At 35.7% G+C, this 23,731-nt stretch overlaps 3 protein-coding genes, 1 long non-coding RNA gene and 1 pseudogene across 6 annotated transcripts in view; all 5 read right to left on the reverse strand.

Annotated features, from left to right (window-relative positions):
• Positions 1–23,731, reverse strand: part of PRH1-PRR4 (PRH1-PRR4 readthrough) — a 325,777-nt gene that overhangs the window by 230,520 nt on the left and 71,526 nt on the right. The gene's annotated exons all lie outside the window — the stretch shown is intronic.
• The window catches only part of PRH1 (proline rich protein HaeIII subfamily 1), a 290,647-nt gene that overhangs the window by 195,404 nt on the left and 71,512 nt on the right, over positions 1–23,731 (reverse strand). The gene's annotated exons all lie outside the window — the stretch shown is intronic.
• PRH1-TAS2R14 (PRH1-TAS2R14 readthrough) overlaps positions 1–23,731 on the reverse strand; it is a 234,202-nt gene that overhangs the window by 138,959 nt on the left and 71,512 nt on the right. The window lies entirely within an intron of this gene.
• On the reverse strand, positions 924–1,926 carry TAS2R64P (taste 2 receptor member 64, pseudogene; annotated as a pseudogene).
• TAS2R43 (taste 2 receptor member 43) lies at positions 14,919–15,945 on the reverse strand. Its single transcript, NM_176884.2, has one exon. It carries the CDS (start codon positions 15,859–15,861, stop codon positions 14,932–14,934), a length of 930 nt encoding a protein of 309 aa, NP_795365.2. The 5' UTR covers positions 15,862–15,945; the 3' UTR covers positions 14,919–14,931.

Genomic DNA, 23,731 nt, shown 5'->3' on the forward strand with positions numbered 1-23,731 from the left:
CATTTGAAGAAAGTTTCATTTGATTATCATCTATAGTTTCTATACTCTCTTTGGGACTTTTTTTAAGATAGAGAATATTTGAGTTTTTTTGAGGAATATTAGGAATGGGAGACAAAGGAGAAAATTGGAAATTCAGGAGCTCAGAGGTGGCTAAGAAAATAAATGGAAATACTTGACATCAGATGTCAACTTCACAAAAGGTTTCCTTTAATTCAAAAAGTGGAATAAGTGACTTTTCTAACTACACATAAAAAATTATAACAGCACTGAAAGGATCATGATCATGTTTTTTCATTCCTATTATAGAAATGATTTTTATTCTAGGCTATGCACATACTTGTATTAAATTTAGTATTCTTTAGTACTGTTTTTGGTATATATAAATAAAACTTACTCTACATATCTTTGTCACTAAAATTTTATTGTGTGCATCATTAGCTAACAATTCTATTTGCTTTCTACCAAACGTAAAATAAGAATTCCTAATGAAATAAAACCTACCCCAAAGATACATTCTCATCATTGATTTAATATTAAACTTCTTTACCATCCAAACAATTAGGGGTTCACCAATGATAGTTAAGTACATATATGTGATACAAATTGCAATGGAAAACAGCAATAATTTCCTGATAAAAGCTGTAAGATCCTAATTTTAAAAAGAGAAAATAAAATCTTCAAATGAAATATTATACAATGAACTATAAGAAAATATACATACATTGTATATGTGAAATATACTCAGCTTCATAGTTTATGGTCAATGTTGTTATTTATACACATGCACACATATACAACCATATATATATGTAAGACTTTTATAGATATCTATTCTGAAATTACTCAAATACATACACTATGGAAAAACTGATAGAAATATAAAATGTTCAAGACATCATCAGTTTGTTTTCTGCTAGAAGACACACGATGCACCCCTTGTGAATCTATGGAGTTGAGGGTTGCTGTCCTTTCACTAAGCATGTGACCTGACATAAAACTGAAAGAAACGTCTGTTTTAGTTTCCTGCTTCCCATAATCAGGAAGAATGAGTGGAATGAAGGATACATGATTCCAAGAGTTTGGCAAAGCAGGAATACAAGTTTGTTCTGCTGTGTTCAAAGATTCCAGGTTAATGTGATTAGATACAGAAAGTAAATGGCATATAACATGAGGAAGGAGATCACAGTTTGCAAAGCTTTTATGTGGACCTTGGTGCTGAGATCTTGAGATCCTTTGCCATGGAGCTGCATCTTCTTGAGATGTTTATGCAGAGAACAGATTAACAGCAGAAAACATATTAGGGTCAGAATGAAGGGTATGAGGTTTGCTAGTGTGCTTACAGTCAAGTTTGAAAGGTGTATTGCATTCCTCAATTTGATCTTCCAAGTCACATTTCCTTCATATTCTTTTGTCCACACACTGTCATCCATGGTTATCACAGCAAGATTACAAATCAAAAATACCAAGGGACCCAACAGTATCACCAGAACAACACTCCTAATTCTCTTCTTTAGGTGGAGAAAAATAAGGTTGGAGAAATTGGCAATCTTGAGCAAATAAAATATGCTGAGGCTAGCAGCAAGCCAGATGCTGAAATGGTTGATTATTGCTGAGATATTAGAAGCAACAGCTCCTACTTCTGAACTATATAAAGCTGAATTAAACACATTTGCATACCAATGTAATAATATGACCCAGAGTAAACCAATTCTGGAGACCACCAGAGCAGTGAGGATTTGGTCAGCTGAGGAGATCTTTCGTGTCTTAACCCAGTCAATGACATTTACTAGAGCTATGAAGCCATTGGAAAAATTTCCAAGAACAAATGCAAACACTACCAGAATTGATAAAATGATGAGCAGAAAATATACCATGTTTGAACAGACAAAAAGAAAAAAATTGCAGTCTTAATAACACTGGTTCTGATACCCTTAATATCCAAACATTAACTTCGATAAACACTTGATTACTAAATGTGCAATAACATTTTCTGCCTTTAAATTCTGTGACTAATGTCAACAGGAAAGCACCAGCCTATGCTAATGGATGAGTTCAAAGCTGTCTTCATAGAAATAGAAAATATTGTTATTCTCAAAACAGCTCAGATTCACTCCTCTTCATATACTATCTGTCCCTGCTACATGCTGAATTTTTTTATACTCATGTTGAAGTGAAAAGTGAATTTTCATGTGTTAGTATGCAAATAAAGCCATATTCTTTGTCATTGTTTTGCAATTTTTTTCCTTGTTTAACCTCTCCATAATTTGAATCCAGCATCTTCAGTTGTTTCTTAGGGAAATTTTAAAACCAAATACATATATCATACAGTAAATGTCTAAATTGTTAAAGGAGCTTGGTCATAACTAGGATCACACCAATATGGATTTATTTTTATGCCAGATTTAAATACCAGATTCTAAACCTTTTATCAGAATCATCCAAGGTTATCTTGGAAAGCCCTGGGAGGCCGATACACCTGAAAATCTGGTTTCTGATAACCAATAAATTGATATGACATCATTGTTAATAAGCTCCTAAACACATAGACACACATGCACTCACACCTTTAGGGGATGGAAGGAATTATTTTCTTATAATTCCCCAAATGGAAAATGAGTTTCCAGGAGGTCATCCAGGTGGAATTACTCGTATTCCACTCAGGGTTGTCAGACAATGAATAATATTTATCAAACATGTTTCTCATGCTTAGGCCATTGATAAATTTAGTCTCAAGTCTGTTTTTTGTTTAAATATTAATTATGTAATTAAAATATTCAGCAATTTTGTAAATATTTCGAAGTGCCCTACACTTTTTCATATAATCCTGCAGCACCCTCCCACCACAGGCAGGGTGACTACCTTGACCATTGACTCTGAATTCACTCATGTAATTTGCTTCAGTGAACAGCAAACTAGTAGACTTTACGCAGAGATTTAAGACGGCTTCCATACTGGAGTTTCTTGCTCTTTTCCATTTACCGTGAGGACATCATCTGGCCAATAACTGTTCCCATAAGAAGAATGAGAAACTAATGGAGTCAGAATGCCACTGCCTTATCTACACTAAATCAGCCAAACTAGCTTCAAGATGCAGTACATGGCCCGTCTCCAGTCACCAGAGCCATCCACCAAATCTAGCTTAGAAAAATGAAATTCAAAGACATATGAGACACAAATATCTAAAGCAGTTTTGGAGGATTTTCTCTTGCAGAAAAACCTAAGTGATAAAGGCACTCTGCTAAACCAAGAGTATGGGAAACATGTCCACCCTTGTTGTGTCAGGAATTCAGGATTCAAGGGAAAAATAGACAGAGAATGTCAAAGTTTTGTCACATGAAGTGGATAATTAAACCTAAAAGAAAAACCTATTGAAAAATCTGGGATTGGCAGGTAACATCATGTCAAGTTTCAGAAAGGTGCAACTAAAATCAGAAAGTTTCTACTTAAAATCGCTTAGAGTTATACATAAATGTATAAAAATAGTGAATTTTTCCCTTCGGTATATAATGAGCAGAGTAATAATAATTTTCATGGAATCTTTCTCCTGATTAATAATTTTTATATTATAACTAGACTGCACACTTAGAAATGAGCCAAAACAAAAATGGAAAACATAGCAATGTGTCATAAACACTCATGTAACCTTCATGTAGGGCAAGACATGGAACATTGCTAAAAGCCTAGGTTTACCTCAATGCCACTTTCCATTTCCCCTATACCTTTCTTCATATCTCCTGTGATAAGCAACATCCATAATTTATGATCATCTTTTTTTAAATTTTCTTTTTACTTTACCAACAAGCTATGCAACCCTAAACTCAATAGCTTGGTTTGGCCCACTTTGAAATGTTTATAGGTGCAATCCTATATGTTCTTATTCATGGCTTCCTGGAATCAATATTATGTATATGAAATTTAACCCCACAGTTGCATGTACATGTGATCCACTTCTTTTCGCTTCTGTATAACTTTTCATTTTATGATTTTACTGTAATTATTTATCCATCCTTATTTGATATATATTTAGGCAGCTTGTTTTTGAGCTATTATGAATAATGCTACAATGAGCATTCTTTCACATATCATTTGCTACAATTCTTATGCATATATATACCTGGGTGTGAAATTACAGGGTCCTTGATAAACGTTCACATTCTCCTCACAGACATAAAAAAGCCAAAAACATAGTTTGACTAAATTTATTTCTGTCACCTTTATCTCCAGTCTCTTTATTGCTATTTGCATATATCTTATCGATTATACATTCAATCCAGGAAGACACTATTTTATACAGTCAACATTTATTTAGAATTACACACTTATTTTTCATTGTCATTAATTTTTATTGCTCCTTGCATGTTCAACTTTGTATTTTCAGTAATTTTATTTTATCTGAAAAATATCATTTTCAATTTCTGTTTTTGAAGGTCTACTACTCTTTGGAAACACACTGAAGACATGATTCCCATGATTCCATTGCATTCCTGCTTCCATATTTTCTGTTAAAATCAGGTTGTATTCAGAATGCAGTTCTTTTCAACATACTCTATCTTCAACCTCTAGCTACTTTTCAGATTTTCTATTGGTCTTTTGTGTCCTGTATTATTTTATGTTAATTTGATTTAAGTCATCATGCCTGAAGTTTGAGATTACAAAAAATACATGGAGGCATACATTTTATCACTTTTGGAAAACTCCTTGCAACATTTTGTTGCTCTATTTTCTCCCCTCTACTGTTACAGAACTCCAGAAGTATGTTAGGTGTTGTGACTGTAGCCTCAATGTGTTACCCTCTAGCTTTGTATATTTCCATCTCTTTCTCTCTGTGCTTCATTCTGTGTAGCTATCTTCTAATTCACTTATTCTCTCTTCTACTGCATCTAACTGGTTAACTCTGTCTATTGGATTCTCAATATTGATAATTCATTTTTTTCAGTCTTATTCTTTTAGTGTTCAGAATAATCTTTTATTCTCCTTCCATAAATCATTTTCTAGGGAGAAACTGAACAAACTACTCTTAACACCATGTTCTTTTTAAAAGCATTTTTGAGTTTTGGGTTTTTGGCTTTTTGTTTTAGTATGTTAGAAAAGAAAATGGTAGTGGTTTTCTTCATTTCCCAATAGTTTGCTGAGAGAATAGAATAAAAGCTTTGTTCTGGAATTTACCTTCAATTTGAAAGAAACTAGAAATTAAGTTGATGTGAGTAGCTTTTTTTGGATATTAGCTTGTCTGTTGCTGGGTCATCACCACAAACTCTGCTAACAGGCAAACTCAATGACCAGAACTACCTCTCAAAATATCATTGCAATAGATAAAATATATTTCACCAACCACAGCTACGTTGTTGTATTCAAAGAATTAATTTTCATTTTGCTTATGTTGTAGAAATGGGGCTCTGTGCCTTTAAATTTCATCATTACCTAAGTGAAATAGAGAAGATATGGGGGAGGGGTTACTTCTCTTTGATTTATTTAGCCCTAACATCCTTACTTTATAAATAAGAGCTTGATCATGAAATGGTTTATTTATTTTTCCTATTAAGCAATTTTATTTATACTAAAATCAAAATCTTTTCATAGTGTTACATGGATTAGTTTAATATAATTTATAATTGTTTCCTTAAGCATTGTATTTTAAACTACACTACACTTAACTTTCTAAATCTAAATGTATTCAGCCTGACTTGAACTTTGCTGTTTACTAATATAACTTTCCTACAATGATATCTCTTAGAAATTATGCAGACATTAACCAAATTATGTATGTAAATATTTCAAAAATAAATCATTTAATAAGACAGATGTAAATGTAGATGATGATAATGATGATGTCAGCTAAAAGGTAGAATGTTATTTAATAAATGTGATTTTGGTTTTCTTTTAAAAGCATTAGAGTTAAGGTTGGTGGGAGAACACTATTATTCTTCCTCATAGATACACAATTTTTTTTTTCGAGATGGAAATTCTCTCTTGTCACCCAGTCTGGAGTTCAATGGCACAATCTTGGCTCACGGCAACAGCTGCCTCCCTGGTTCAATCGATTCTCCTGCCTCAGCCTCCCAAGTATCTGAGATTACAGGTGGCTGCAACCACACCCAGCAATTTTTTTTTATTTTTTGTAGAGATGGGGTTTCATCATGTTGGCCAGGCTGGTCTGGAACTCTTGACCTCAGGTGATCGGCCAGCCTTGGCCTCCTAGAGTGCTGGGATTACAGACATGAGCCACTTTGCCCAGCATAATTCCGATATTATTCTCAGAATCAGGCCTTGACAAATACCCTCAACTAGCATTTCATCAAGAATAACATAAAACCAACATATTTCCAGTGATTTACTTGCTATTTTTTTCTTCTATTGCATTCTAAAAATTATGCCAAAAGTGACCTCCAGCAAAGAATACTCTTGTTCTGGCTGTTTAATTTTGTTCCACTTCCATATGAACTTACACAAATACTCTGTGCAATTATGAAGTGTATAAGCTTCATTTCATCTTTTAATAGCATCACTAACAAGTTAAATTCTCTCAACTGCTTAATTTCATTCTCAGCTATGGTCACAAAATCTGGGTGATTTTATTATAGCAGTCAAAGTAGTTACACTACATATGTTTTAAGGCTTAACAAAATTATCTTTCTATGAATTTTTCTTGAATATTCAAAAAATTTGTAATATCAAAATATTTTTTCACACATGTGTACACATGCATGGTATTAAAATCTTTGAATGGTAAAAAATGTGTATAATTATTTTATTTAGGGATAAATTTAGAAAAATTGTCATGTATATTTAATGTCTGTATAACTATAATTTATTGGAAATTCACTACTTTCTGCAACTTTGAAATGTTATCATAAATAATTAAATTGGAAAGAAGAAAAAAGGTGTCTAGCAAAATACAGATGCTCAAAATCTGATGTTTCAAGGTAAGAATAACATTAAGAAAGTGGAGGTAGACTTCCTGCTTACCTCTTCCTTTTTTAAATTAAAGAAAAGTTTAAAATTTTTCTTGGATTTCTTACTATCATAATGCTGTATTCTTCTTTATTCAGCAAAAATTCTAATTACAATGATGTCTATAAGAATATGTTTTTTCAGCCTATTTTACATTCATTCATTTAGTGTATGTTTCTACTTTTTAAATATTTTTATTATTGTGAAACATAACATACATATATATATAAAGTAATAAGGTCTAAATGTACAGTAAAGAAAAAACTTATAGCATTAAGAGTCATGATTCCACATCATGGTCATAAAGTAGAATTCACCAGCAATCCAGACACTCTCCATATACGCCTTCTTGTTGATAACATTTCCCTTTTGTTTCCTCCATCCCTACCATCCCAATTGTTATGATAATCATTCATATGTCTCACTTTAGAATTTCACCACCAGTGTAATAAATTTCAATTTATTAAAAATATATTTTTGTAAACTTTATATAAGTGGAATTATACTGAATCATTTTTCAAACCTAATAATTCCTCTCATATCTATGAAGTTCAAATTTGTTCATTTTCCTTTTTATTTATGTTCTTTGTAAACATGTTGCTCTAGTTGGTTCTGCTGGGACAATTAAGTTCCCTTCAAAGACTCAACCTTCTGGCCAACAGTTGCAAATGTTGTAAATCAATCCTACCTCACACCCCTCCTTCTTTTTGCAAATCCTGCATTTACCCTATTTGGAAAAGTTTAAGTCTTAGCCAATCAGGATCAGTTTAGATAGCACGGTCCAACCCCAGCCAACAGGAGAAGGACACAGAAACAGGAACTGTGTTAGGATTAAAAACTCCTTCCCTCCTTTGTTCCGTGGGCTCTTGGGATTGTAACGGGCACAAGCAGCACCCTTCTGCACCCTTCTGCCAAAGTAAAGATGCCTTGCTGAGAAATTTTCTGTCGAAGTGTTGGTTTCTTTTGTCTACTCTGAGCACTTGCTTCCAACAGTTCATTTTGATTGCTGTATAGTATACTATTGTACAAGTATGCCATAATTTACTTATCCATTTAATCACTGATGGACATTTGATAGACTTCTCAACTTAGCTATTAAAACTCAGTGATATGCATGTGTGTCTATATGTATTCTGATAAGGATACAAATACTGGGTCTTCAGATGTGATCCATCATCTTAATCAGATAATGCCATACTCAGACAAACTAACTGCTCTGATTTACAATTCTAGGAGCAGTGTATGAAAATTCCCATTACTTCATAAGCTTTCCAAAATAAGTAACATCAGAATAATTTTTACCTTTAATATTTATATGAAACATTATTAAACCTAACATTTTATAAGCCTTTTTCTATTATGTTTCAGAATGTATTCTTAATTCAAAAATTGTTACTCTTTTTAAATTCCATGACCATGACTTCATGCACATTTATTAATAATGAATTACATATTTCATTTATTTATTTATTTATTTATTCATATTCTTTTTTCTTTTCTTTTCTTTTTTGGAGACAGAGTCTTGCTCTGTTGCCCAGGCTGGAGTGCAGTGGCATGATCTTGGCTCACTGCAAGCTCTGCCTCCCAGAATCACGCCATTCTCCTGCATCAGCCTCCTGAATACTTGGGATTACAGGGGCCTGCCATCACACCCAGCTAATTTTTTTTTTCTTGGTATTTTTTGTAGAGACAGGGTTTCACCGTGTTAGCCAGGATGGTCTTGATGTCCTGACCTCGTGATCCACCCACCTTGGCCTCCCGAAGTGCTGGGATTACAGCTATCAGCCACGACACCCAACCCTTATTCATATTCTTTATTACTTTTCCTAATATTTTTCTTCAAGTTTTAAATACTGTTTTGTTATGAACAAGTATAATTATGCTAGACATATTTCCTTTAACCAATCATTATGTCAAATGACTTTGAGAAATATGATTTGTTAACAGCATACTGTAAGGCAAATTTCAGCATTGTTTAACAACTCCTTAAAAGGACTCAAAGAAAATAATATGTTGAAATATCAAAATAGTCTTTAAGTACAATGAAGGTGCCCATGGGAAAATACAAATTCTACCATTACTGTTATGGAAAAAAATGGTTAGTAGTAAACATACCATGTCTGAATTTTTTTAAGGCAGGCCTAATATCAAGGCCTAATGGACAAGATTCCCTTTAAGGTCCTGACCTTAATTTCTATGTGTACCTGATTTCTGATTGTGCAGTAATGTTCTGGTTCCTTTTAAATTCTCTGACTAATGTCAAAACGGAAAGCACCGGGGCATGCTATTGAATGAGTTCAGGGCTGACTTAACGGAAAATATGATAATTTCCAAAACAGCTGAAACTGACTCATATTCAAATACTATGTCCTTGTTATAAAATGTCTCATACTGATGTTGAAGTGAAACCTGAATTCTCAATTCCAGGCATACAAATCAAGTCATATTCTTATTCATCATTTTGAAATTTTTTCCTTGTTTAACCTGTCTATAATTTGTGTTCAGCAATGTCGGTTGTTAGGGAAATTTTCCAAACTAATACATAGATCATACATTGGATGCCTGCACTGTTATATGTAGCTTGGTCAAAACTAGAGTCATGACCACTGTTGATTCATTTTTTCAATGCCAGGTTTATGGAAAGTGAATCCTAAATTTTCCTACTAAAAGCATCCAAGGTTTTCTTTGGAAGCCCAGGAAGGCCAATATTCCTTAAAATCTGGTTGCTGTTAACTAATAGTTTTGTATAACTTATTGTTAACAAGCTCATTAACATAAACACATTCCCCCCCCCACACACACACCCCTCATGGTTGAGTAAATTATTGTCCTATAATTTCTAAAATGAAAAATTAATTTTCTTACTTGGGCTTTTCAGCGCATTTTCAATGTTTATCAAGCTTAATGTCTCATGCTTAGGCCTTTGACTAAGTTTTTCTCTTGAGTCTAATACTTAAATCTTAGTTATTTAATGAAAATATTCAGCAATTTTATAACTATTCCTCGGACACTTAAAAAACGTGTTCCATTGAAGAGTCTACACTTCTCTGTGTATGAATATTCAGGTTTATTTTTCCCTATTTAATTTATTTTTGATTATGAAATGGTTTAAAATAGATGTTAAAATCAGTCTCCAATCTTGGATTTTATTTCTTTTCAGTTTTTATAGTATAATGGTTTCTAAGAGGGGATCTTGAAGTCAGACTGCCAAGACAGGAAACCAGATTCCCTGCTTCATATAACTATGATGTGAGACTCCATTTTACAACTACTGCCTGCCTCAGTATAATTACCTATAAAAAGGAGACGATAGGCCGGGTGCGGTGGCTCAGGCCTGTAATCCCAGCACTTTGGGAGGCTGAGGCAGGTGCATCACCTGAGGTCAGGAGTTTGAAACCAGCATGGCCAACACGGTGAAACCCTGTCTCCACTAAAAATACAAAAAGTAGCCAGGTGTGGTGGCACATGCATAAAATCCCAGCTACTCAGGTGGCTGTGGCAGAAAAATCATTGGAACCCAGGAGTGGGGGGTTGTAGTTAGTTGAGATCATGCCACTCCACTCCAGTGGGGAGACCGTGCAAACTCCATCTCAAAAACACCACCACCACCAACAAAGGGCGATGAAAATACAACTGTCTTTGGTTAATTTTGTTAGGAGTTAATATACTATTTGTATTACTACTTTCAAGTTTACCTCTTATAGGCAGGAACCAAAGATTGTTCATTATCGATTCGATACTGTTTTACTTGATATTTAAGATACCAGTGAGAAGTTAAACTTGTTTTTTTTTTTTCTTCTGAGACACAGTCTCCCTCTGTTACCCAAGCTGGAGTACAGTGGCACAATCATAGCCCACTGCAGCCTTGAACTCCTGGGCTCAAGCAATCCTCCTGCCTCAGCTTCCCAAGTATTTGGGACTATAGGCATGCACCAACATGCCAGCTAATTTTTTAAATTTTTTGTAGAGATGGAGTTTCCATATGTTGCAAAGGGAACTCCTGCTCTCAAGGGGTCCTCCCACCTTGGCCTCCCAAAGTAGTAGGACTACAGGCATGAGCCATGACATCCAGCCTGCATTGAGAGTTTCTGAAGGTCAGATGCTACCTAGAGCTTTGGCTCATGTCCATCCCAAGGTGGAGCTAATCAGTTTGTAGTTATTACCTCTTCCTGAAAGTGTAACTGAAATGGATATGCATGGCAGCTGGCAGGACACTCACATTATTCGTGAACTGTGGAGTAAGGGACATTATTATAGCAGGACCAAAGGGAAGCCTCTGAAATTCTCCTCTACTGGCAACACAATGTACAAAATATAATAACCGCATTCCCTAAGGAATGGAACTGGTCACTGCCATGACAAAACACTTGCAAGTTACAGGGGATGGTAGTCCTTTCTATAACCTGATTCACTTAACCTATCTGGCCTCTACCAAAACCAGATGGATTACAGAATCAATGCAGACTACCATGAACTTAAATAAACACTCACAAATGCTTTCCAGGATGTGCTGTCTTCACTAAGCAGAGCAGAGCTTCTGGTACTTTTTACCGGGCTTGTGATTTGGTGAATGGTTCTTAATCTACACCCATTATGAGGAAAAATCAAAACAATTTGCCTCGTTTTATAATAATAATAACACTGTCACTGTTTTATATCATGGCTATGTCACTTCTGTTCTCAGTTTAATTTACATTTTTTAAAACATCGTGATTATTTAATATATTAATAATATTACAGACCAGGCCCTGTGGCACATGACTGTAATGCCATCATTTTAGGAGGCCGACACGGGAAGATCATTTGAGCCCAGGAGTTTGAGACCAGCCTGGGTAACACGGTGAAATCCTAGCCCTACAGAAAATACAAAAATTAGCCAGGCGTGATGTTGTGCCCCTGCAGTCCCAGCTGCTAGCAATGCAGAGGTGGGGGAATCACTTGAGCCCAGAAGGTTGAGGCTGTAATGAGCTGTGATCCTGCCACTGAACTCCAGCCTCAGGGACAGAATGAGACCCTGTCTCAAAATAATAGCAATAATAATAATAATATATTACTTGGTACAATAATCAGGAAGTGGCAAGTTTCTTAACTATAGTAAAATACTCTAACGATGAATGGAAGTAAAATACCAGAAGAAAAGAAATCAACCTGAGAAGATTCAGGGACCTACAGCATAGGTGATGTTTTAAAGCATTCAGTGTCCCTAGACCACACGTTGAAACAATCTTTTTTACAGTATATGGCATGTTGCTCTCTCTATAAATTTCCTATCACTACAAAAGAGACCCAGTATTTTGGGGGCCTATTGGGATTTTGGAGACAACATATTCCACATTTGAGAATATAGCTCTGACTCATTAATGAAGTTTCCCAGGCTACTGGTCTCAAGCAGAATCCAGAACAAAAGTGGGCTCTACAGAAGATATGGACTCTGCTCCAAGCTGCTCTGGCCACTGTGCCAGATGATCCAGCAGGATTCAAAGATGCTAGAAACATACATAGTGGTCATTATAGGACTCTGTGCATGTCTCTGACAAGCCTGTAGGAGACAGGAGAGCAAATCCCTATGGAATTAGTGCAAGAACATTCCCTCTTCAGCAGAGGAGTATCCTCTGTGTGAAAAACAAAACAGCAAGTGGAGAACATTAATCCAAGCATAGAGTCCCTCTAAACACAAGTCCCTATAAGCACAAAACCCTATGCAACTGTGGACGTCATATGCTCATAAAGCCAGCCATGACTGGAGGGTATGAGCACGCCTCAGTGGCACAAGGAGTGATGGTATTGGACACAAACATGTGCTTTCTTAGATTCCCTTCACTATGTCCTATTCCCCTGGCTAGTACCTTGCCCGATCCAGGTCATCATTCCATTTGGGACTTGAATGCATCACCACACTGTGGGCATAAGGTATGACTTTCATGACCACCACCAAGGGACTGGATGATGGAAGACAGAACAACAGAGATGATAGTTCTGCCTCAAGGAAACCCTGACCAATAAGAAATAGAAGACTAATGACAGCCGAGCAGATACATTCTCCCTCCTCTCTCACTTCCACGGACTAATGCCAGCTGTGGTTTCCCCCTGTAGCCCTTCTGGAAAAAGTGCTGGAAGCCAAGTACACGCATCTGATGACCGTCATGCTGTCTCTCTCACCTCACTGTGAAGTGGCTGCCAGCAGAGCCATACCAGACATCACCACACATTGTTTCACATTTCTTCCTGTCTCAATTTCCACACGTCCTTGCCATTTTTGTCTTGAATTTGACTTCTAAATAAATGTTAGCACTTTAATAACAGGTATTACATTAAAAACATTTTGGTAAAGTAGCTGGTTACTAACTCAATTTTTTGAAATGAAATGCCATTTTATTTAAATAGTCAACTAGAAAATATCATAATACAAATATATAATTCACAATAGAAAAAAAATTCAAATAGACCAAAGTTGTTTATATGATTTTTCAAACTATTGTAATAGGTGCCATCTAATTTTGATGTTCTACCTTGTCTCCAACTCAGACACCTGATACAGCTGCATCAAGACTATATTATTGTGATATTTCCCCTAAAATTGTGGAATAGCCAAACTTTTCCTTAGAGGAAGGATTCTGCTTGGATAAGCCTGTAATCTTAACCTGAGACCGGAACAGGGGAATTCATGCAACTGCAGATTTTGTGATGAGTTTCCTTTTCATTGGTTTACCACATCAGCTTACCCATTTTAGCCACCCATTTATTTGTTCATTAAAGTATTAATGAACGTAATAGAATTTAGCTGTGAACAGGACTGTACATTTCTTTCTTATAATAGAACTTCCTATTAAAGAATATGTCAACACCCTTTCATTTCATCATTGATGACAAAATTACAAAGTTACGGCTCATCCCATAATTAATACATAGGGTTCACAGATACTATTTTAACATTTACAAAAAGTTTGACTGAAATATTTTCCACAATTTCTATACTATATTTACATTGATTTTATTTTTCAAAAAGAGAGGATTTGAGTTCTCTTATCTGAAGTTTAGAAGGAATTTTACAAACGGAAGGTAAGGATATAATTAGCAAATCAGGGGCTTAAAAGTGCTTTAGAAAGAATACTAAAATAATTTACATGAGATCTCAACTTCAAAAACAGATTTTCTTTAATTCAAAAGCGGAAGAAATGACGTTTCTAACTGCATATGCATAACTGATGATACCAATCAAGATCATGATCATGATGTTTCATCCCTTTATTAGAGAAGGAATTTTTTCCTAAGCTATTCACATATGAAATCTAATATTCCTCAGTACCGCTTATGGTAGACATACATTAAATTTACTCTGCATATGCTTCTCACTCAAATTCTATTGTGTGCATTGTTTTCTAACAATAATTCTCATTGCTTTTTACTAAACATAAAATAGAAATTCATAATGGAATAAAACACCGAGGATACATCCTCATTATTGATTTAGAATTGAATGACCTTACCATCCAATAAATTTGAGGTTCAAGCAATGAATTCTAAGCACAATGTGGTATATTCCTGTGGTTCAAATAACAATAGAAAAGAGCAATATTTTTCCGGGGATAAGCTCTTACTTCTTAATAATTATAAATAGACATTGCAAATTCTACAAATGAAATAAAAAATACATGAATGAAATAAACATGGCTTCAAAATTCTAAGAAGTTTTTGTCATATTTTGTATAATTTGGCAGTTTGTATGAAAAAACAGAAAAGAGCATGTTGTTGTCAATGTTAAGTTTTCATACACAAATACACACACACACACACACATATATATATATATATATATATATATATTTTCTAGACTGCCATTGGGTCAAAGACTTTTCTAGGTATACGTTTGGAAATTATTCATACACATACAGTATAGAAAAACCAGTAAGAAATATAAAATGTTTCATACACCACCAGTTTGTTTCCTGCTAGAAGATACACAATGCCCCTCTCGTGAATCTATGGAGATGAAGTCTTCTCTCCTTTCACCCAGTACCTCATTTGCCAAAAAACTGAAAGAAAAGTCTGCTTTAGCTTCTTGTTTCCCCAAATCAGGATGAATGGGTGGATTGAAGGATAGCTGAATCTAATAGCTTTGCAGAACATGAAGACAGGTTTGTTTTCCAGACTTCCAAAACTCCAAACTGATATCATTATGGACAGAAAGTAAATGGCACATAACAAGAGGAAGGAGATCACAGTTTGCAAAGCTTTTATGTGGACCTTGGTGCTGGGATCTTGAGATCCTTTACCATGGAGCTGCATCTTCTTGAGATGTTTACACAAAGAACAGATTAACAGCATAAAAGATAGTAGGGTCAGAGTGAAGGGTACTAAGTTTGCTACCATGGTTACAGTCATATTTGAAAAGTACATTGCACTCTTCAATTTGATCTTCCAAGTCATGTTTCCTTCAAATTCTTTTGTCCGCACAATCTCATTCATGTTTATCACAAAAAGATGACAAGCCAAAAATAGCAAAGGCCCCAACAACATCACCAGAATGACACTCTTAACTCTCCTCTTTAAGTGAAGAAAAATAAAGTTGGAGAAATTGGCAATCTTGAGCAAATAAAATATGCTGAGGGTAGTAGCAAGCCAGTTGCTGAAATGGTTGATCACTGCCCAGATATTATAAGCAGTAGTTCTTACTTCTACACTATTAAAAGCTGGATTCAACACAGTTGAATACCAGTTTAATAATAATACCCAGAGCAAACCAACTCTGGAGACCGCCAGAGCAGTGAGAATTTGGTCAGCAAAGGAGATCTTTTGTCTCTTGAACCACTCAATGGAATTTACCAGTGCTATGAAGCCATTAGCAAAATTTCCAATAACAAATGTAACCACTACCAGACTGGAAAAAATGATGGGTAGAAAAGTTATCATGTCTGAACAGACAAAAAAAATTTTTTTAAATGCTGGTGTTGTGTCCGGAATTGGTTCCTGCAGGTGGGTTCGTGGTCTCGCTGACTTCAAAAGGGAGCCACTGACCTTCACGGTGAGTGTTGCTGCTCTTAAAGATGGTGTGGACCCAAAGAGTGAGCAACAGCAAGGTTTATTGAGAAGAGAGAAAGGACAAAGCTTCCACAGAGTGAAAGGCAACCCAGGTAGGTTGCCGCGGCTGGCTGAAGCCATGAGCTTTTATTCCCTTATTTGTCCCCTCCCATTTTCCTTTTTTGTCCTATCAGAGTGCCCTTTTATCAATCCTCCCTCCGACTGGCTACTTTTAGGATCCTGTTGATTGGTGCATTTTAGAGCGATTGGTGCATTTTACAATCCTCTTGCTAGCTACAGAGCGCTGATTGCTGTGGTTTTACAGTGCGCTGATTGGTGCATTTTACAATCCCCTTGCTAGCTTCAGAAACGTTCTCCAAGTCCCCACAAGATTCAGGAAGTATAGCTGGCTTCATCTCTCAATCTAATAAAACTGGGTGTGATTGCTTGAATATCCTGACCTTAAATTCTATATGCACCTGATTTGTGAATGTGCTGTGACATTCTTTTTACTTTTAATTGTTGTGACCAGTGTCAAGCCAGAAATAACCATGGCATGTTAACTGATGAGTTCAATGATCTCTTTATGGAAAACATTCCTATTTTCAAACAACTCAAATTAACTCATTCATTCACTGTCTGTTCTTGTTATAGGCTGGAATTATTCACACTGAAATTGACGTGAGACCTGAATCCTCATTTGCTAGTATGCAAATAGGGACATATTCACTTTCAGTGTTTGCAATTTTTCCTTGTGTAAACTCTCCATCATTTATCTTTAGTGACTTCAGTTGTTAGGGAAGTTTTGTAACTTAATATATATATCATCCAGTAAATGTCTAAATTCTCAAAGGGAGCTTGGTCATAACTAAGATCATCACCAATGCGGACTTTTTTAAATCACAGATTTAAATACACAGAATCCTAACTGCTTTTATCAAAGGCATCTCAGATTTTCTTGAGAACCACAGGCAGGCCAATCCTCCATAAGATCTGGTTGCTGCTAATACTTTCGTATAACTTCATTATTCACAAACTCATAAATATGCACACAAATACACACGTGCACACCACTTATGAATGGAACAAATTATTTTCTTGTAATTTCCAAAATAAAAAATGAGTTTCCAAGAGGCTGTGCAGATGAAATTAGTCCTATTTTCCCGGGTTTTCAGCCCATGAATAATATTTATTTATCAAACATATCTCTAATTCTTAGGACTTGGTAAAGTTCGTCTCAAGTCTAATGTTTAAATATTTATTATTATACAAAATATTTAGCAATTTTATAACAATTCCTGAGTACCAGACCCTTTGATATAGAATCCTGCAGTATCCTCCTATCACAGGAAGACTGACTACCTTACCCCTGAACTTGGAATTCAATCATTTCACTTATTTTGATAAACAAAAAATTACTACAGTTTGCATAGAGATTTGAGATGGCTTCCATACTGGGGATTCTTCCTCTTTCCATAGAGATTTGAGATGGCTTCCATACTGGGGATTCTTCCTCTTTCCATTTACCATGAGAATATCGCCTGGCTAGTACACTGTTCCCAGAAGAAGAATGAGAAACTATTGAAGTCAGATTGCCGCCACCTGATCCAGACTAAATTGGCAAAACTCTAACGTCCTCCAAGATGCAGAATTTGGCCCATCTCAAATCACGACAGCCATCCACCAAACCTGGCTTAGAAAAATAAAATCCAGGTCCAGTGCAGGCAAGGCTGAGGAAGGCAGATTATGAGGTCAAGAGATGGAGACCATCCTGGCCAACATGGTGAAACCCCGTCTCTACTAAAAATACAAAAATTAGCAGGGCATGGTGGTGTGGGCCTGTAGCCCCAGCTACTCAGGAGGCTGAGGCAGGAGAATGGCGTGAACCCCGGAGGCGGAGGTTGCAGTAAACTGAGATCACGCCACTGCACCCCAGCCTGAGTGACAGACCAAGACTCTGTCAAAAAAAAAAAAAAAAAAAAAAAAAACCCGACGTCAAACGACATGTGAGATATAAATATCTAATGTAGGTTTGGAGGGTTTTCTCCTGCACAAAAACATAACTGATAAAAGAACTCTGCTAAACCAAGAGTGTGGGAAATATGTACATCCTTGTTGTGTCAGGAATTCAGGAGCCAAAAGAAAAAATAGATGGGGAATGGCAAAGGTTTGTCCTGTGAGATGGATAATTAAGGCTAGAAGAAATCCTTTGGAAAGATCTGGGGGTGGCAGATAACATCATCTCAAATTTTCTTATGTTGCAACTAAATAAGAAAGTTCCTATTTCAACTATCTTAGAATTGTGTAAGAATGTATACAAATATTTGATATTTCCCTTCGGTATATAATGAGATGAGTAATAATAATTTCTATATTTCTCCTAATTACAAATTTGTATATTAAAGTTATAATGCGCACTTAGAAATGAACCAATACAAAACTGGGAAATTCCACAGTGTATCATAAACACTCAAGTAACTATGATGAAGGGCAAGACAAGGAACACCTAAAACAGGCTAGATCCACCTCCATTCCACTTTCCAAGTCCCTAAACCCTTCTTCGCATCTCCTGATATAAGCAATATCCATAATTTATAATGGTTATTTCCTCAATTTTCTTCATACTTTACCAACTAGGTATGCAACCCTAAACTCCATCGCTTGGTCTAGCCTACTTTGAACGCTGTATAGGTGCAATCCTACATGTTCCTCTTGTTTGTGGCTTCCTGAACTCAACATTATGTTTCTGAAATTTAGTCACATAGTTGCAAGCACATGTGATTTTTTTTCACTTCTCTATATTGTTCCATTGCATGGAATTACTGTAATGATTCATCCAACCTTAATATGTATTTGGCCAGTTTCTTTTTTGAACAGTTATGAATAATTCTACTAGAACATTCTTTCATATATCATTTGATACAATTCCTTTGCATATATACCTATGAGTAGAATTATATTATCATTGTTCAAAATCTCCTCATAGACATAGAAAAGTTCAGAAAATAATTTAACTAAACTTACTCCTGTCACCTTTACCTCCATTCTATTTTTTGCCATTTGCATATGTCTTATCAATTGTATAATTACCCCAACAAGACATTATTATTTTCTAAACATTCATTTAGAATTATGCACATATTTACCACTTTCATTAATTTGTATTCCTTCTTGCATATTCAACTTAATATTTTCAATAAGACCCTTTATTGGCCAGGCAGGGTAGCTCACACCCATAATCCCAACATTTTGTAAGGCTGGGGCAGGAGCACCCAGGAGTTCAAGACCAGCCTGTGCAACACAGCAAAACTGCCTCTACAATGAATGAAAAAGTTAGTCAGGCATAGTGAAGCTACTCACAAGGCTGAGGTGGGAGGATGGTTTGAGCCCAGGAGTTCCAGACTGCAGTAAGCCATGATCCTACCACTGAACTCCAGCGTGGACAACAGAGTGAGAATCCAACTCTACCAACAAAAATAATAATAATAATAATTTTTCTTTTATCTGAAAAGATATATTTTAAATTTCTGTTTATCAAGATCTATTCTACTTTTGAAATACACTGAAGACATGAATCCATTGAACTCTAGCTTTATTTTTGTCTGTTGAAAATCAGCTTGTCGTTTAGACAGTTATTCCCTTTAACATAATCTATCTTTTCCTCTAGTTACTTTTCAGGTTTTCTATTGGTCTTTGATGTCCTGTCATTTTATGTTAATTTGGTTTTAGTTATCGTGTCTGAAGTCTGATAGTTTCTAAAAATATATGAACTGATATACTTTATCACTTTTGGAAAAATCTCCACATTGCTTCTGCCCCATTTGCTCTCTTCTAATCTTCTGGAACTGCAGAAGTATGTTAGTTGTTCTGATTGTAGCTTCACTGTCTGTGGCCCTCTAGCCTTATATTTTCTACCTCTTGATCTCTTTATGCTTCATTCTGGGTAGTTATCTTCCAATTCACTAATTCTTTCTTATGTTTAACTGGTTGTTAACGCTATTGGATTCTCAAAATTGATGACCCTTTTTTTTGTCTTATTGTTTTAGAGGTAGAAATGAACTTTTTGTTCTCCTTATATAAATCGTTTTCTAACGGAGAAACTAAACCAATATTCCTAAAATCAAGTTATTAAAAAAAGTTTTTTTAAACTTTTAGTATACCTGACATGAAAATGGTAATGATATTTTTATTTTTGTAATACTTTGGTCAAAGAAGAGAGTAAAAGCAGGATCTAGGCAGCCTCATGAAACTCGGAAAAAACTGGAAATTGATTTCATGTCAATAGCTTTTTTTGGATAGTAGCTTATCTGTTGCTGGGTCATCACCACAAACTCTTTTCACAGGGAAATTCAATGAGCAGCACTGGATCTCAAAATGTCATTAATTACATATAGAATCTCAACCACAGCTCCATCATTCTATTCCATTATTTAAATTTTATGCGGTTTTTGTTTTTTTTGTTGTTGTTGTTGTTGTTTTTGAGACGGAGTCTCGTTGTCTCCCAGGCTGGAGTGCAGCGGCGCGATCTCGGCTCACTGCAAGCTCTGTCCCCGGGGTTCACGCCATTCTCCTGCCCCAGCCTCCCAAGTAGCTGGGACTACAGGCACCCACCACCACGCTCGGCTAATTTTTTCGTATTTTTAGTAGAGACGGGGTTTCACCGTGTTCCCCAGTATGGTCTGGATCTCCTGACCTGATGATCCGCCCACCTAGGCCTCCCAAAGTGCTGGGATTACAGGCGTGAGCCACCGCGCCTGCCCTATGCTGTTTTAATTAGCAAAAATCAAAATTTCTTAGTTTATAACAATCATTAAAATATCAAATAGTAAAACATTACTTACGAGTTTATCAACAAATGAAGGACATCTGATATAAGTAGACTTTAAGTCCCATGGAAACAAAACTGAATCTGGTGCTTCTGTGGAATTCCACCATTTAATCCTATCCATGAATATAGTTTTGGTTATAGAACTACAACCTTCTAACTCCATCATCACTCACTCAAGTGTGACAGAAGATCTGGGGTCTTACCTCTGTTTGACAGTTTGGTCCTAAAATCCGCTCTTTAGAAATAAAAGCGTGCTCAAAAAATGTGTTATTTGCTGTATCTTTCTTATTAAGGAATTTTATTTACACGAAAATTAAATTGTTTCTATCATGAGCATAGTGAAAGGAGGATTCACTGACGGTCATCCATAAATAATTATTTGCTTAAGCAATGTACTGTAAAATAAACTACACTTAATTTCTAAATCTAAATGTATTGGAGCTTGACTTGAACTTTGCTGTTTACTATTGTAACTTTCCCACAATGATGATCTTTTTAAAATTACTTATTTTCCAAATTATGTATTTAAATATTTCAAAAACAAATCATTTCATGAGATAGATGAAGATATAGATGATGAAGAGAATGATGATGGCAGGTGAAAGGGAGAATGCTATTTGGTAAATGTGATTTCAGGCTTGTTTCTAAGTACTGGAGCTCAGCGTGATGAGAGAACACTATTATTCTTCCTCATGGCCTCACGATTCTTCTATGATTCTCAGCATTAGGCCTAGACAAGTACCCTCACATGGTATTTCATCAAGAATAATGTAAAACCAACATATTTTCAACGATTTATTTGCTTTTTTTTCTTTTACTACATTTTAAAATTCGATAAGAAACACGACCTCCAACAATTAGGATTCTATTTTGGGATTTTTTTTGGCATTTTTGAACACTAACATGGACAAATAGTCTATGCAATAATACAGTATATCAACTTTAGTTTATCTTTTAATAGCATCATTAGCAAGCCAAATTCTTGCAAATCTCCACTCCACCCAGGAAGTCCAGCTGGCTTCACCTCTCAATGTAATATCACTGGTTGTGATTGCTTGAATATCCTGACCTTAAATTCTATATGCACCTAATTTGTAAATCTGCTGGGTCATTCTTTTTACTTTTAAATGTTGTGACCAGTGTCAAGCCAGAAATCACCATGGCGTGTTAACTAATGAGTTCAATGATCTCTTTATGGAAAACATTCTTATTTTCAAACAACTCAAATTAACTCATTCATTCACTGTTTGTTCTTGTTACAGGCTGGAATTATTCATACTGAAATTGACTGGAAACCTGAATCCTCATTTGCTAGTACACAAATAAGAACGTACTCTCTTTCAGAGTTTGCAATTTTTCTTTGTGTAACCTCTCCATCATTTGTGTTTAGCAACTTCAGTTGTTTGGGAAGTTTTATAACCCAATACATAGATCATATAGCAAATGTCTAAAGTCTTAAAGGGAGCTTGGTCACAACTAAGATCATTACCAATATGGACTTTTTAAAATGCCAGATTTGTATACACAGAATCCAAACTGCTTTTATCAAAAGCATCTAAGATTTTCTTGAGAACCACAGGCAGGCCAATACTCCATAAGATTTGGTTGCTGCTAATACTTTTGTATAACTTCATTATTCACAAGCTCATAAATATGAACACAAATACACGCATGTGCACACCACTTATGAATGGAACAAATTATTTTCTCAAAATTTCCAAAATAAAAAATGAGTTTCCAAGAAGTTGTCCAGATGAAATTAGCCCTATTTTCCCACTCAAGAGTTTTCAGCCCAAGAATAATATTTATTTATCAAACATATCTCTAATTCTTAGGCCTTTGGTAAAGTTTCTCTCAAGTCTAATGTTTAAATATTTATTATTATATAAAATATTTAGCCATTTTATAAGAATTCCTGAGTACCCGACCCTTTGGTATATCATCTTGCAGTATCCTCCTATCACAGGAAGACTGACTACCTTTCCCCTGAACTTGGAGTTCAATCATTTAACTTACTTTGATAAACAGAAAATTACTACACTTTGCATAGAGATTTGAGATGGCTTCCATACTGGGGATTCTTCCTCTTTCCATTTACCATGAGAATATCGCCTCGCAAGTACACTGTTCCCAGAAGGAGAATGAGAAAGTAATGAAGTCAGATTGCCCCCACCTGATCCAGACTAAATTGGCCAAACTCTATCTCCAAGATGCCGAATTTGGCCCATCTCAAATCACCAGAGCCATCCATCAAACCCAGCTTAGAAAAATGAAATCCAGGCCAGGTGTGGAGGAGGCTGAGGAGGGCAGATCACGAGGTCAAGAGATTGAGACCATCCTGGCCAACATGGTGAAACCCCATCTCTACTAAAAATACAAAAATTAGGTGGGCTCAGTGGAGTGTGCCTGTAGTCCCATCTACTCAGAAGGGTGAGGCAGGAGAATCGCTTGAACCCTGGAGGTGGAGGTTGCAGTGAGCCAAGATAGTGCCACTGCACTCCAGCCTGGGCAACAGAGTGAGACTCCATCTCAAAAAACAGAAAACACACACACACACAAATGAAATCCAAAGACATGTGAGATATATATGTCTAATGTTTTAGAGGGTCTTCTCTTGCAGAAAAACATAACTGATAAAAGAACTCTGCTAAACCAAGAGTGTGGGAAATATGTACAACTTTGTTGTGTCAGGAATTGAGGAGCCGAAAGAAAAAGTAGATGGGGAATGGCAAAGGTTTGTCCTGTGAGGTGGATAATTAAGGCTAGAAGAAATCCTTTGGAGAGATCTGCGCTTGGCAGATAACATCATCTCAAATTTCCTCATGATGCAACTAAATAAGAAAGTTCCTATTTCAACTATCTTAGAGTTGTATAAGAATGTATATACAACTAATTGATTTTTCCCTTCAGTATATAATCAGATGAGTAATAATA

This window comes from Homo sapiens, chromosome 12, assembly GCF_000001405.40.
Source record: "Homo sapiens chromosome 12, GRCh38.p14 Primary Assembly".
In the NCBI taxonomy this organism is placed as follows: domain Eukaryota; kingdom Metazoa; phylum Chordata; class Mammalia; order Primates; family Hominidae; genus Homo; species Homo sapiens.